The 16,595-nt window shown below is 39.5% G+C and overlaps 1 protein-coding gene across 1 annotated transcript in view, besides 1 other annotated feature; it reads right to left on the bottom strand.

The window, feature by feature from the left end:
* YAE1 (YAE1 maturation factor of ABCE1) overlaps window positions 1–16,595 on the bottom strand; it is a 45,686-nt gene that overhangs the window by 7,921 nt on the left and 21,170 nt on the right. The gene's annotated exons all lie outside the window — the stretch shown is intronic.
* Window positions 14,106–14,653: an enhancer, noted in NCBI's record as "OCT4-NANOG-H3K27ac hESC enhancer chr7:39629115-39629662 (GRCh37/hg19 assembly coordinates)". NCBI's record gives its function as "activates a minimal SCP1, AML or CMV promoter by ChIP-STARR-seq in naive and primed H9 embryonic stem cells {active_cell/tissue: H9 hESC(naive and primed)}" and the evidence as "EXISTENCE:reporter gene assay evidence [ECO:0000049][PMID:30033119]".

Below are 16,595 nucleotides of genomic sequence, written 5' to 3'. Positions count from 1 at the left end.
AGCTATAGCCACTTTGCTCTCAGCTGGAAATGTCAGAGGAACATATTGAAAGAATCTGCATCCTTGATGTCAATCAACCCTTCCTCCATATTTCCTGCCCTTCCTCCATACTTCCTGTTATGTAGATATTAAACTCTCTTATTATTTAAGTCAAGTTGAATTAAGGTTTTCTGTTACTTGCAACCAAAGTCATCTTAATTGATAGATTCTGCCCTTGAACATACCAAAAACTGAGTTAACCCTCATCTCACAGTTGGCGGAAGATCTAATATCCTCTCGATATTTCTTTGAATTTCCTCAGAATGACTTTCTCCAAATCCAACTTCCTGATACAGAACTCTTGAACACTGTGCAGATCCAGCTGTGGAACATGACTTCTTTATCTCAATTTATTTAAAAAAAATCCACTCCCATAATACACACTAAACTTTGTGTGTGTTAAATTTTATTGAAGATTCAGACTGAGGGAATAGATTTTATATTACTCTGGTGAAACATCTTAAAATGAATCATTAGATATTCTTGTTTTTGACATCCTCAGCAATTCCATCTACTGGAATTTTTTACTGGTCACCTTCCATGGTCAGCAATCTCTGGTTTCATTCTCCAGGCTAATATCTTCAGGAAAAAGCACTTCATCACAATTCCCACAGCTTAATTTTCTAATTAATTTAGTTTTCCACCTACTTAGGGACTCTGGTTTACTTTTGCATATCAAAACTCATCACATGAGCCGGGCGCGGTGGCTCACACCTGTAATCCCAGAACTTTGGGAGGCCGAGGCAGGCGGATCACGAGGTCAGAAGATTGAGACCATCCTGGCTAACACGGTGAAACCCGTCTCTACTAAAAAATTCAAAAAATTAGCCCGGCGTGGTGGTGGGCGCCTGTAGTCCCAGCTACTCGGGAGGCTGACGCAGGAGAATGGCGTGAACCCTGCAGGTGGAGCCGAGATCGCGCCACTGCACTCCAGCCTGGGTGACAGAGCGAGACTCCGTCTCAAAAACAAACAAACAAACAAATAAACAAACTCATCACATGCTCTGCTAAATTAGAGGCCATCTACTTTGGGTCTTACTTTTCTGGGGCACAGAATTATTGGCAGAAACTTTGAAATTTAGACCTAGCACAGTGGCTAACGCCTGTAATCCCAGCACTTTGGAAGGCCAAGGTAGGCAGATCATTTGAGGCCAGGAGTTTGAGACCAGCTTGACCAACATCGTGAAACCTCATGTCTATTAAAAATACAAAAATTAGCCAGGTGTGGTGGCGCACGCCTGTAATCCCAGCTACTCGGGAGATCGAGGCACGAGAATTGCTTGAACATGGGAGGCAGAGGCTGCGGTGAACTGAGATTGTGCCACGGCACTCCAGCCTGGATGACACAGTGAGACTCTGTCTCAAAACAAACAAACAAACAAACAAACAAACAAACAAAAAACCAAACTTTGAAATTTCAATCTCTGTTTTCTTCTTCTTCTACCTGCCTCTGCAAATGGAAAGAAACAACGTAGAGAGGAATTTTCCCATTGATAGAATTCAGCCACTCCACCTTAGAAGAATGAAGCAGCTGTAGTCATTCTGGGTTTTAAATAACACATTTTTTTCTATGATAGACAAGAATGCTCATATAATGAGTAATTGTGCTAAAATATTTGCAAAGTGAATCTTCTCAGAAACTTTGAATCTTTTTCTGATGCTAAAGAGTTCTACAACACGGAAATCCATCATTTCATTATGAGTTTCTGTTCATGGTAAGACTTGTTTTAAATCTCAGAAACTTATTGTCTAACTAGCTCTGCAGGTCTCTTAGATATTAAGGAAGCCACATTGTGTTACTGTGTTTGTTTCAGCAGTCTATCGGCTGCATTGGGCTGGAATATTCTACCTTTCTAGCATTAACAGTTTGATGATTTTTCAATGATAGACTCTATAGAATTAGTGCTGAATTTAATAATGCATCTCTAACCAGATGTTCTCTTAAGTTTCTTATGTTCTTTCTGACTGGCTGTCTCTTTGAGTCCTCTAGTTTTCCCTAAAAAGGATGGAAATAACAAACATGATTCCAGGACAATTATTACTCCACAAAAATTCCTGTTAATTACTCCTAGGTAACACAATTTTTTCTAAAGTAATCTGCTCTCTTAATCCATTCATTTTTTTTCATGCATCCATTCAGTACCTATTGACTGTCTTCTATAGATAACCACTTGCTGGGCACTCTTCGGCATTATGCCCCTTGAAGTTAGAATATTCATGAAAATACTTTAACTTTTCTAATTTCATATCAATGTCAAATCTATATAATGCTCTACCCAAGCATCTGCTTAATTCAAATGCGATTCAATGCAACAAAAGGATTAAGTCAAAGAAGTTGGACTGTTCTTTATAGTTTTTTTTTTTTTTTTTTGAGACAGAGTCTGGCTCTGTCATCCAGGCTGGAGTGCAGTGGCTCCATCTCGGCTCACTGAAACCTCTGCCTCCTGGGTTCAAGTGATTCTCCTGCCTCAGCCTCCCGAGCAGCTGGACTACAGGCGCCCGCCACCATGCCCGACTAATTTTTGTATTTTTAGTAGAGATGGGGTTTCACCATGTTGGCCAAGCTGATCTCGAACTCCTGACCTCAGGTGATCCACCCATCTCGGCCTCCCAAAGTGCTGGGATTACAGGCGTGAACCACCGTGCCCGGCCCTTTATAGTTTATTGTTACATTTATAGTCTGTTATTCTTAAGAATTAAAAGGAAATACTGCCATAATCAGAAGCTTTGTTTACTTGTGTTAGCTGCCCTGTAAACCTTTTACAATGTTTTTGTAATAGTATTAAAGGTGGTTACAGAATTTTGACTTGAGTAAAATTAAACAATGAAAACTGTTCTGCTGTTGTTCTCAGTCTGCTTACTGTATCAACCAATTTAGCATTTATGTCAGGAATTAAGCATGTTCCTGGCACAGAACTTAGTAATATGATGCTGGTCCCCAAAAACCTTACTTAGATATCTTTTTAGAATTGTGCCTAACCAAAGAGCATTTTCGCTTTGTGCTTGCTTTTGTTTGGTTTGAATAATGCCTGCTTACATAAAATAATACAGACAAAATCTTCTCTTTCAGACTAGATTTAAACCAGTCAAAATCACAGCATATGAAGATGATGATAGTACTGACTTGTTGTCTTAGTTTGGTAGGGTTGCCATAACAAAGTATCACAAACTGGGTGGCTTAAACGACAGAAATAGTTTGTCTCATAGTTCTGGAGGCTAGAAGTTCAAGATCAAGGTATTGACAGGGTTTGTTTCTTCTGAGAGCTGTGAGAAAGAATTTGCTTCATGCCTCTCCCTTAGCTCCTTGTGCTTTGTTGACAATCTTTCCCATTTCTTGGCTTGCAAATGCATTACCTTCTGCCTCCATCTTCACGTGGCGTTCTCCCTAGTGTGCATGTTTGTCCCCAAATTTCCCCTTTTAATAAAAACAGCAGGCCAGGGGCGGTGGCTCACACCTGTAATCCCAACATTTTGGGAGGCCGAGGCGGGTGGATCACCTGAGGTCAGGAGTTCGAGACCAGCCTGACCAACATGGCGAAACCCTGTCTCTACTAAAAACACAAAATTAGCCAGGTGTGGCAGCACATGCCTGTAATCCCAGCTACTTAGGAGGCTGAGGCAGGAGAATCGCTTGAACCTGTGAGGTGGAGGTTGTGGTGAGCTGAGATAGTGCCACTGCACTCCAGCCTGGACGACAGAGGGAGACTCCATCCCAAAAATAAATAAATAAATAAATACAAAATAAATAAAATAAATAAAAACACCAGTCATATTAGATTAGGGGCCCATCCCATTCTAGCATGACCTTACCTTAATTATATCAATAACCCTATTTCCAAACAAGGTCACATTCTGAAGTACTGGGGGCAAGAACTTCAACATGGGAATTTGACAGGACACAATTCAACCATAACACTTATAATCAAAGTTATGTTTTATATTAGTGGTTCTTCTATTTCCTTAACAAATATTTACTGTCTGCTAAGCACTATGCTAGGTAGTGGAAATACAGTAATAAATTGGATACGGTCCTTACTCTCGAGAAACTTCATTTCATGGATTTGTGCCTCTTCCTTTACAATCTTTTCACTTCCAAGGAAATGAAATAAAAAGGGGACTATCAATGTTTAAGGACCACATGGCAGAATACCTAAAAACAATAATAATGGCCAATATTTGTTGAATACTATGCAAATATCATCATGTAAATTATCTCATTTAATCTTTAAAACAACACTTCAGGCCGGGCACGGTGGCTGACGCCTGTAATCCCAGCACTTTGGGAGGCCGAGGTGGGTGGATCACCTGAGGTCAGGAGTCCAAGACCAGCCTGGCCAACATGCACTCCAGCCTGGACGACAGAGGGAGACTCCATCCCAAAAATAAATAAATAAATAAATACAAAATAAATAAAATAAATAAAAACAATAAAAAATAAATAAATAAAAACACCAGTGTCTACTGGTCTCTACTAACTTACTATGAGAGTTAATTAACTTACTATAATTCTATAATTATAGGAGGTAATAACTTCTTATAATTACTAACTTAATATAAGAGCAACCCGTCTCTACTAAAAATACAAAAACTGGCCAGGCGTGGTGGCACATGCCTATAGTCCCAGCTCTCAAGAGGCTGAGGCAGGAGAATCTCTTGAACTTGGGAGGCGGAGGTTGCAGTGAGCTGAGATTGCGCCACTGCATTCCAGCCTGGGCAACAGAGCGAGACTCCATTTCAAACAAAAACAAAAACAAAAAAACAAAACAAAAAAACACTTCAACATAGAAACTACTATTATCACCTCATTTACGAATGAAGAAACTGAGGCTCTGAGAAGCCTAGCAAGTGGCAGAGTGAGGATTTATTTATTTATTTATTATTATTACTTTTTTGAGACCATGTCTCTCTGTCATCCAGGCTGGAGGGTAATGGCATGATCTTGGCTCACTGCAACCTGTGCCTCCTGGGTTCAAGTGATTTTCGAGCCTCAGCCTCTCTAGGAGCTGGGATTATAGCCATGCACCACCTCGCCTCGCCAGTTTTTGTATTTTTAGTAGAGACGGGGTTTCACCATGTTGGCCAGGCTGGTCTCAAACTCCTGTCAAGTGAACTGCCTGCCTTGGCCTCCCAACAGAGTGAGAATTTAAACCTAAGATGGCCTGGCACCTGAGCTAGATACCATTGCTATAGAATCCCTACGTTATACATCTTCTAATGGTGGGGAGAACTGAAAAAAAAAAGTCTTTCCTTTATCTTTAAACAGTTTATGTAACATAATACCTATCGTCTAATTTCTTCTCCTTCTCTTTGTTGCCTTCTTCTTCTTCTTCTTTTTTTTTTTTTTTGAGACAGGACCTCAGGGTCTCACTTTGTCACCTAGGCTGGAGTGCTGTGGCATGGTCATAGCTCACTGCAGCCTTGACCTCCTGGGTTCAAGCGATCCTCCTGCCTTAGCCCCACAAGTAGCTGGGACTACAGGCATGAGCCACCACACCCGGCTAATTTTTGTATTTTTGGTAGAGATAGAGTTTTGCCATGTTGCCCAGGCTGGTTTCACACTCCTGAGCTCAAGTGATCCACCCTTCTTGGCCTACCGAAGGGCTGGGATTATAGGTGTGAGCCACTGCACCTTGCCTGTTGCTTTCTTTTTTACTTGCCAATATTTACAACTTCATTTATTTCTTCCATCAACACTTCCTTAAAAAAAAAAAAAAAAACTTGGCCCAGGTGCGGTGGCTTATGCCTGTAATCCTAGTACTCTGGAAGGCGAGGCAGGTGGATCACTTGAGGTCGGGAGTTTGAGACCAGCCTGGCCAACATAGTGAAACCCCATCTCTACTAAAAATACAAAAATTAGCTTGGCATGGTGGCTTGCACATGTAATTCCAGCTACTCTGGAGGCTGAGGCAGGAGAATCGCTTGAACCTGGGAGGCGGAAGTTGCAGTGAGCTAAGATCGTGCCACTGTACTCCAGCCTGGGTGACAGAGTGAGGCTCTGTCACAAACAAACAAACAAACTTGGCAGGGCATGGTGGCTCATGCCTGTAATCCCAGGACTTTAGGACACCAAGGAAGGAGGATCCCCTGAGCCTAGGAGTTTGAGACCAGTCTGGGCAACATAGTGAGTCCCTGTCCCTATTTAATAAAAAAAAGAAAAAAGAAAAAAAAGAAAAATTTTTCTTATCTCACTTCTTTCCTCCCCATTTCCTTAGAGGACTTCCCTTTCTACCCAGAAACTGAATTTCCTCCACAGAACATGCTGGTAATACAGAATTATCTGCTGGGAAATTGAGTGGGAAGTAGTTGGCTTACTATTCTGGGACAAAAACCAGCATCTCACTTTTAAATGTAAATCTTTTGGGAAGTGAAAGGATGGGGTTAAGTTCTTTCCAGAAAAGAAAATAATCCTACTTTCGGGCCGTATCTATTGGCCCCACCACTACCGCTACTATTAAAAACCCAGCTTCTCGGCCCTGCTGCTAACACTGGTTTTACATTGACTTGGTGACAGTGGATAAAGGTTTGCTAGATGATCAGAAGTATATTTTTCCCCAGAGTCTAAAGCAAAACATAACTTAGGAATGGCACTGCTATGAGGAAAAGTGAGATGTAATAACTGAGACCAGCGAATTATCAGAACTAAGTATCCAATATTAACCTCATAGTAAGTTAAACAGGTTCCCAGTCATACATTCCAACTCCTCTTAAAAAAATTTTTTTTTAATAGAGATGGAATCTCACTATGTTGCCCAGGCTGGTCTCAAACTCTTGGGCTCAAGCAGTCCTCTCACTTCCACCTCCCAAAGTGCTGGGATTACAGGTGTGAGCCACTGTGCCTGGCCTCAACCTCTCTCTTTTCTAATCAGTCACAAGACTCTGAGAGAGAAATGAATAGAGTTGATTATGTAGCACATCATGAATAATGAGAGAAAGCGTTACTAGGCTAAATATTTTCTTTTACATTTCTAAAGATTTTAGTAGAATCTTTTTTTACTATGAAGAAGCCACAGTTCAAAAATGATTTCCTTTAAGGGACAAGCCTTGTATTTCTAATCTGTTAAATGATGGCAAATGCCATAGTCATCATGACTTATCACAGAAATGTCTTTTAAAAGTCCAGGTACAAATTTAAATTGCAAGCACAAATTACAAGAGAAAGAAAGTCAGTTTCAGAGATGTCAAATCATATTTGCTTCTAAAATCTTTCCCTTGAAATTTTTGTGGACATGGCCTGTTTACTTAACATGTTAGTTATTTTTCCTATATTAGTTGTGTCTTGTATTCATTTATTTATTCAACAAGCATGTGTTGAGTATCTATTTTATTCTAGGTACTGACCTAAGGGCCAAGATACAAAGTCAAGTGAGAGACAGAGCATATCCTCAAGGAGCAGATTGTCTAACGGGGAAGAGAGGTAAGTAAATAGGCACTTTTCACGTAACGTCATAAGTAATTTAATGTAAATATGCACAGGGAGCACAGAAAATGGTGCCTGAGTCAGGGAGTGAGGTAAACAGGGTTAGGAAAGTTGTTAAGGAGAAGTAAACATTTAAGCTACATAATGAGGAATAATTATTATTGGAAGTGACTTAAAGCCGGGCATGGTGGCTCATGCCTGTAATCCTAGCACTTTGGGAGGCTGAGGCGAGGCTGAGGCTGAGGTTAGGAGTTCAAGACCAGCCTGGCCAACATGGTGAAACTTCGTCTCTACTAAAAATACAAAAATTAGCTGGGTGTGGTGACGGGCGCCTGTAATCCCAGCTATTTGGGAGGCTGGGAGGCTGAGGCAGGAGAACTGGGAGGCTGAGGCAGGAGAATTGTTTGAACCAAATTGGTTCAATTGGTAGGCGGAGGTTGCAGTGAGCCGAGATCACGCCATTGCGCCCCAGCCTGCGTGACAGAGTGAGACTCCGCCTCCAAAAAAAGAAAAAAAAATAAGTGACTTACAGATTGCCAAATCTGGTAAGATTTTATTTTGTTACTTTTCAACTGTTCCACGTGATAAATGCCTCTCTTTTGCAAACTCTAAAATAAAATTAGTTTGATGATGGAGAATTCAACCATGTGCGACTGCCTTTGTCTCTTGTAGCTCTATTGTTAAGACCAGATATCAAGAAAAAGGCATAGCCAATGGAGAAAATTAATGATTAGGTCTGAAATTTAGCTGCTGGAATTAGAGAAAGAAATAACTGCTGTATATATCTGCTGTATATAGACTTGACCAGAAAAAAAGCAGAGATGATTTCTTCTCATCTCAAGAAGGCTTGATGAAGGACAGCTTCCAAATGAGTTCCTTGAGTGCTGAATCTCTATTCTTTTCATTTTTAAACTCATCATTCTAGGCTTGAAACTCACCCATGTTGTATGCCACCACAGAGTTTGAATATGTACAAGGGCATCTCCAGTCATTGTACTTGGGAGGAGGAGATGAAGGCACCATTTCCCTCTTTATCTGCAATTGAGTAGTTACTGAGAGAGTTGTTTACAGAGCTCTTTATTCATTCATTCAGATATTATTCATTGTTAAAAATACATAATTTGATATGTAAATTATATCTTAATAAAATTGTTTTTTAAAAGCCATTTGTAGTATACTTTAATGTCTTTTCCCCTAGGCCAGCATAGTTTGGCACATAAAGCCTTCTTGACTGAGTTGACTGTGTGGCCTGTTTGGGTCTCTCTGCAGTGTTTACCAGCTCTTCTGGCATACGTCCCAGAATGACAATCCTTTTTCCTTTCAGATTATGACACTGGATGTGAACTCAAATCCCCTTAACTCAGAAACTTACTGTTCAAACCTCCAGAAAAACGCTGGACAAAATCCTCATCAATAAAAACAGAATAATTGAATGTGATGCTTGGAAATGTTCCCAGCAATGTCCTTAACCTTGGAAAAAAAAATCCCTAGTCTATAATGTTTCTACTCACTTATCCACGGAAATAGAATTGAAGGGTAAATCAGAACAAGCAGAAGTCCTATTAGTGTGGAGGTTCTGGAGAAGAGGTTGCCTGGTTACTTTTTTCAGCGGAGAAGTTAGAAAAGAACACCACAACATGAGGGGGAACATAGTCCTCCTTTCAAAAAGTTTATCTCTAAAAGATTAAAAACAAAAACAAAAACAAACCAAAGCGTAACATCATAACCTGGAGCAATCAGGTTTATTTAAATATATAAATATGATACAAATGTCTAAATATGGAGCAGATTTTTCTTGGTTAAAAAAACGAGGTTCTGGCTGGGCACGGTGGCTGACACCTGTAATCCCAGCACTTTGGGAGGCCAAGGCAGGTGGATTGCTTGAGCTCAGAAGTTTGAGATCAGCCTGGCCCACATGGTGAAAGCCCATCTCTACTAAAAATACAAAAAATTAGCCAGGCATGGTGGCGGGCACATGTAATCCTAGCTACTTGGAAGGCTGAGGAGGGAGAATTGCTTGAACCCAGGAGGTTTCAGTGAACCAAGGTCACGCCATTGTACTCCAGCCTGGGCAACAAGAGTGAGACTGTCTCAAAAAAAAAAAATGAGGTTCTACTTCCATTAATGGGAGAGTAGCATGTATCAGACCAACCATTCCACAAGTAATACTTATAAACTCTGAACAAAGCAATAAAAAAAAAATGAAGGCATTGAGAAGGGACCAAAGTAGGCAGAAAATGGAAAGGAATCAAATTTAGAGGAAAAGAAAGGCATTGGGTGAGTTTTTCCATTTCTTATGACTCTTTACCTGAGGGTGGGCTCCAGCAAGGCTTGCACCGGGTAGCTAATACTCACAGACTCATAATCATACAGGTTATGTATTAAGAGTCAGAGTTTGGAGCAACCACAGCTGGAATGTGAGGGAGAAGATTCTAGAAAGGAGAAAGCCACAGATGAGGAGCCCCAGTTTGTGAATATAAAATCTACTTGGAAATCTGGCTGATTCCTGCACTATCCCTGTGCAGGGCAGAACCTGAGAAGCCCATACATGGCTAAAAGAATGGAACAAAGATTTCAGCTACTGCCCAACATAGAGGGGGTAGAGTTTGGAGTTTGAGTTCTGAAAAGTTATCTGTCTACTACAACAAAAATTAATACTCTTGAGAAGAACATAACAGAGTTCAGAGTTTCTCCAATTTATCATTCACTGACCATGTCCAGGATACAACCCCAAATTACTAGACATAAGAAGAAACAGGAAAATGTGATCAACCAACACTCTAAGGAAAAGACAATCACTAGAGACCAACCACAGAATGCTTCATATATTGTAATTAGCAAAGATTTTAAGGCAGTTATCGTAACTATACCTAAGGATGTAAAAGAAAACATAATTTAAATGAATGAACATATAGGAAATCTCAGCAGAGAAACAAACCGTAAAGAAATAACCAGGCTGGATGCGGTGGCTCATGCCTGTAATTTCCAGTATTTTGGGCGGCTGGGGTGGGCAGATTGCTTAAGCTCAGAAGTTTGAGACCAGACTGGGCAATGTGGCAAAACCCTGTCTCTTTAGATACAAAAAATTAGCTGGCCATGGTGGTGCGTGACTGTAGTCCCAGCTACTTGGGGGCTGAGGCAGGAGGATTTCTTGCACCCATAAAAGGCCAGGCACAGTGGCTCATGCCTGTAAACCCAGCACCTTGAGAGGCCAGGGCAGGCGGATCACTTGAGGCCAGGAGTTCAAGACCAGACTGCCCTACATGGTGAAACTCCATCTCTACTAAAAATACAAAAATTAGCTGGGCGTGGTGGCACTGGCCTACATGGTAAAACCCCATCTCTACTAAAAATACAACAATTAGCTGGGCATGGTGGCAGGCACCTGCAATTCCAGCTACTCGGAAGGCTGAGGCACATGAATAACTCGAACCCAGGACTTAGAGGTGGCAGTGAGCCAAGATTGTGCCACTGCACTGCAGCCTGGGTGACAAAGCGAGACTCTGTCTCAAAAAAAAAAAAAAAAAAAAAAAAAGAAATAACCAAATGGAAATTATAGAGCTAGATATTAAAGTATCTGATATTTAAAAATTCACTAGATAGGCTTAACTGTAGATTGGAGATAAAAGGAGAAAGAACTAGTACCCTTGAAAATAGATCAATAGAAATTATCCAATCTGAAAAAAACAGAGAAGAAAGCCTGGGAGAAAATGAGCAGAGTCCCAGTGACTTGTTAAACAGCATTAAGAGGTTTAAATATGTGTAACTGGAGTCCCAGTAGAGAGAGAATGACCAAAAATTTAAAGAAATAATGGCCAAAGTGTTTCCGAATTTGGTGAAATATATGATTTTGGCAAGCTCTAAGCAGGATAAGTGCAAAGAGAACTACATCTAGGCACGTTGTAATGAAACTACTGAAAACAAAAGTAAAAAAGTATTTAAAAGAGCCAGAAAAAGCAGCACATTGTAGACAGGATAACAATGACACATAAACAGCTGACTTCTTACTAGAAGCCACAAGGTAATGAATCATATGTTTAAAGCACTAAAAGGATAAAACTTAGAATTCTGTATCTATTTCATATCTAGTAAAATTACATATGGTTGCCTACATATGATGCTTCAACTTGTGATTTTTTGACTTTACTACGGCTTTATTGGGTGGTAGTATGTGCATTTTTGACTTGTGATATTTTTGATTTGTAATGGGTTTGCCATGGGTTAAATCCATCACAGATAAATTTATCATGGGTTTATAACGCCATGGTAAGTTGAGGAGCATCTGTATCTCACATTTTACATATAGCAAAAATATCCCTAAGGAAATGCCAATTAAAACAGTGAATTACTACTACAAATAGATGACACTAAATACTGATGAGGATATGAAGCCACAGGAACTTTCATTTATTGCTTGTAAGAATGCAAAATGGTAGAGCAACTCTGGAAGATAGTTTGGTGGTTTCTTTAAGGACTAAACATACTCTTACCATATGATCCAGCAATTGTACTTTTTGATATTTACCCAAAGGAGTTGAAAACTATGTTCATGCAAAAACATGCACAAAGATGTTTATTGCAGCTTTACTCATAATTGCTGAAAACTGGAAGAAACCAAGAAGTCCTTTAGTAGGTGAATGGATAAAATGACTGTGAAATATCAACTATGAAATATTCAGTGCTAAAAAGAAATGAGCTATCAAGCCATATAAAGATATGGAGAAAACTTAAATGCATATTGCCAAGTGAAAGAAGCTAATCTGAAAAGGCTACATAATGTATGATTCCAACTACAGTATGTGACATTCCGGAAAAGGCAAAAATACATAAGTGTAAAAAGATCAGTGGTTGCCAGGAATTAGGTAGGGAGAGAGGGATGAATAGGTAGAACACAGAGCATTTTTTAGGGCAGTGGAAATACTCTGTGTGATACTATAATGGTAGATACATGTCATTATACATTTGTCAAAACCTATAGAATGTACAACACCAAGTGAATGCTAATGTAAACTGTGGACTGTCGGAGATAATAACGTATCAATGTAAGTTTGGTAATTGTAACATATGTACCAATCCGGTGGTGGACGTTGATAATGGGGGAGTCTATGCATGTGTGGGGGCAGGAGGTATCTGGGAACTGTCTGAATCTTCTGTTCAATTTTGCTGTGAACTTAAACTTCTCCAAAAAATAAAGTCTATTTTAAAAAATCCTTCAAGAACAAAAGGGAATAAAAAAAGAATAAAAGGGAAATAAAAGGCATTTTAAGATAAATGAAAACTAAGAGAATACATTGTCAGTGGACCAGACCCATAAAAAATGCTTAAAAAGTATTTAGTACTATGTGTCGAACAGTATCCTCCATGTTTTATCTTGTGTTTCCCAGGCCAATGCTGAAACAAAATTTCAAGTGAGGTGGTTTATTTGATAGGTGTTTTGCACTGAATTGTGTCCCCCCCACCAATAAATTGAAGACCCAAAGGTATTCTAAAAGGTTACTAAGTTAAAATGAGGTCCTTAGGGTGGGCCTTAATCCGGTCTGACTGGTATTCTTGTAAGAAGAGGAGTTTGGACACAGAAAGAGACACCCCAACACATGTGCACACAAAGAGATGACCATGTGAAGACACAAGAAGGCAGCCGTCTGTAAGTCAAGGAGAGAGGCCTCAGAAGGAACCAAGCCTGCCAACACCTTCATCTTGGACTTCCCAGCCTCCAGAACTGTGAGAAAATAAATGTCTATTGTTTAAGCCACCCAGCCACCCAGTCTGCAGTTTCTGTTATGACAGCCCTAGCAAACTAATACAGTAGGTGATCTCAGGAAATGTGATAGAGAAGTGGGAAAGGAAGAAAGGGAAAGAAGGGCAGCCAAGGTAAGATATTATTACAGGTTGAGTGTCCCTAATCCAAAAATCTGAAATCCAAAATTCTCCAAAATCTGAAAGCTTTTCAGTGCCAATATGATGCCACAGGTGGAAAGTTCCAGATCTGACTTCATGTGATGGGTGGCAGTCAAAACTTTTTTTCATGCACAAAATTATTTAAAATAGTGTATAAAATGGCCTTAAAGCTATGTGTATAAGGCACATATGAAACATAAATGAATGTCATGTTTAGACTTGGGTCCTACATAATGAAATATCTTTATCTCATTATGTTTATGCAAATATCCCTAAATTAAAAAAACATCTGAATTCTGAATTTCTGGTCCTAAGCATTTTGGATAAGTGATACTCAACAGCATTGGAGTCAGGCAGATGTGGGTTTATCCTCTTAGCTCTTTATCTGTAAAATAGGGATCATATTGCCACTTTATGAGAATAAAATAACATAGTCCATATAAAACCCTTAGCAATTATCTGACATATCTTAAGTACTCAATAAGCATCTTTAAAAAAATAATTTAATTTCATGACAACTCTAAGATTAAATGATTATCTGTTTTAAAATATCTCCATTAATTAAAAAGATTACCATTTAAGTTGTGTTGGGAATCTTAACGGTATTATTTTGTGTATTATGTTTAGTGCAATGGCTTAGTAAATACTTAATGTACTAAATACTTAATATATAGCATGCATTCAGTAATGACTTATGTATACACTCTTATGATTTTCCTATTGATATGGCTGGGCTGTACTCAAATTACATTCCCTTGTGTTCTGTATTTTGCTATTTCTGCAATCACACACTGTAAACCATAACACGTACATATTTTATTATGACACATGTCAGTTGTTTTCTTCCTCTAAGTCCCAAGGTTTTTGGAAAGGGACTTTCGGTGAGTCATAGTCTCCGTCTCTTGTGGTGAAGTGTGTGACCTTATCATCTGTCTACCGCCTCTAAGCATTGTTTCTTGAAATAAGACCACAGTTTCCTAAATGCGACTGCCTGCAGCTCCTTTGGTCTTGCTGCAGCTGCATTCCTGGAATTGCCCTTCATAAGTCTCCTGGGGCCTCCTGGGAACTGGAGAGCATTTTGTAATGGAGATGTCAGATACTTAAGCAAATTACCTTTAATTACGGAAAGCACAAAAGCTCAGAACAGAATTAGTGATCAAAATGGATTAATGGATTATCTTTCTATTAGTAATAGTTATGAGAAATACAAATTTAAATACAGAACTCCTACCTTCACATTTAAAAATACAGTCTCAGGCTGGGTGCAGTGGCTCACACCTGTAATCCCAGCTCTGTGAGAGGCCAAGGTAGGAGGATTGCTTGAGCTCAGGAGTTTGAGACCAGCCTAGTGAAACCCTGTCTCTACAAAAATTAAAAAAATTAGCCAGGCGTGGTGGTGCATGCCTGTAGTCCCAGCTACTTGGGAGGCTGAGGTGGGAGAAATGCTCAAGCATTTCTTCATACCCAGCCAATGAAGCTTTTTAAACTTTAACTTTAGAGTTCATATTCTAAAACACATGTGTTCATGGGGGCACTGAAATAGCTATACAGAAAACTACATAGTAAAAATTTTTATTTGTTAACATTGTTTTTCAAAACTTCATCAATCTGTAAGGTAAATGAATAATTTCTAAAGTTAGTATGTGACTTATTTTATAATAAAAAGCCTTTGTTTTAAATTGAAACTAAAATTAGCCAGGTGTGGTGGCTCACACCTGTAATCCCAGCACTTTGGGAGGTCAAGGCAGGTGGATGGCTTGAGGCCACGAGTTCGAGACCAGCCTGGCTAACATGGCAAAACCTGTCTCTACTAAAAATACAAAAATAATCCGGGTGTGGTAATGCATGCCTGTAATCCAAGCTATTCAGGAGGCTGAGGCAGGAGAATTGTTGAACCCGGAAGACGGAGGTTGCAGTGAGCCAAGATCATGCCACTGCACTCCAGCTTGGGCGACAGATAAAGACTCTGTCTCCAAAAAAAAGAAAAAAAAAACCTAAAATTATATATTGTTTACATTTTTAAAGTAAATTCTAAAATCAAGTGTGATTTCTTTAAAACTCAGAAGGAAGCAGGCAAGGGAATAAACAGGAAGCTTTGCTTAATCTGTTAATAAGACCAAGTAAGTGGATGTAAACAACGTTAGTACTAAGCAAATATCCACATACTTGATACATGTATCAAAGTCTTCTCCTTTGAGACGGAACTTCCATTATTAGGAAAGAAACACTGTGGTGTTTCCTGCGACTACTGTGCAGTGTGTGGGGGGTAGCTCCCATTTTTTCCTTCTTGTTATTCTTTTTTTTTTTTTTTTTGAGATGGAGTCTCCCTCTTGTTGCCCACGCTGGAGTACAATGATGAATGATGAGATCTGGTTTCACTGCAACAAGCGATCTCCTGCCTCAGCCACCTGAGTAGCTGGGATTACAGGCACACGCCACCAAGCCCAGCTAATTTTTGTATTTTTAGTAGAAACGGGGTTTCACCATGTTGGCCAGGCTGTTCTTGAACTCCTGACCTCAGGTGATCCACCCGCCTCAGCCTCCTAAAGTGTTGGGATTACAGGCGTGAGCCACCACGTCCGGCCCATTTTTCCTTCTTCTAAACTTTGTCAAGCTTTCAAGCCTACAACATGTACAAAGAAGGACTAAGTAATACTAGCTTTTCAGAACTAAATAGTCCACAGAAATATGTTAATTAAAAGTTTAGGCTGGAGCAAAAGGAAGACTGGAGAAATTTTAACACCTCAGAGTGACAACTATATAGGGGTTGGGAGCGACTGTTATTAACAAGTCCCGGAAACCAGATGAGACTAAGAATGAATTGGAGCCAATTGGCCAAGAAAACTAAATGAGATTAAATCGTGATTTTAAAAAACTAAAAAGTAGTAAGGATATATACAAAAGTTTTTGTTTTCTAAATTTTATTCTAAGTTATCTTTAAAGCAGGGTTTTTAGACACAGCACCCCTTTTCATAACGAATATATTGTAATGCTCCCTGTACTGCCTTGAAGTTTATAGACAATATAACTTACCTACACACATGATTTTTAAAAAGTTATAAGGCCTTGATTGTAATATAGAAAATAAAAGGAAGATACTCCACAGCAAAATATGTATTTTGATACATAAGTGTTTGTGCACAACTCCATTAAGGCATCATAAAGGAGCCCAAAGCAGGGGATGTGGCAGATGTGTTGCATGGGTGACTCAGGACCCAGAGCAGTGCTGCTGTCAGTTGGT

Source organism: Homo sapiens, chromosome 7 (genome assembly GCF_000001405.40).
Source record: "Homo sapiens chromosome 7, GRCh38.p14 Primary Assembly".
NCBI lineage: Eukaryota > Metazoa > Chordata > Mammalia > Primates > Hominidae > Homo > Homo sapiens.
This window is presented reverse-complemented; position numbering and strand designations above follow the sequence as displayed.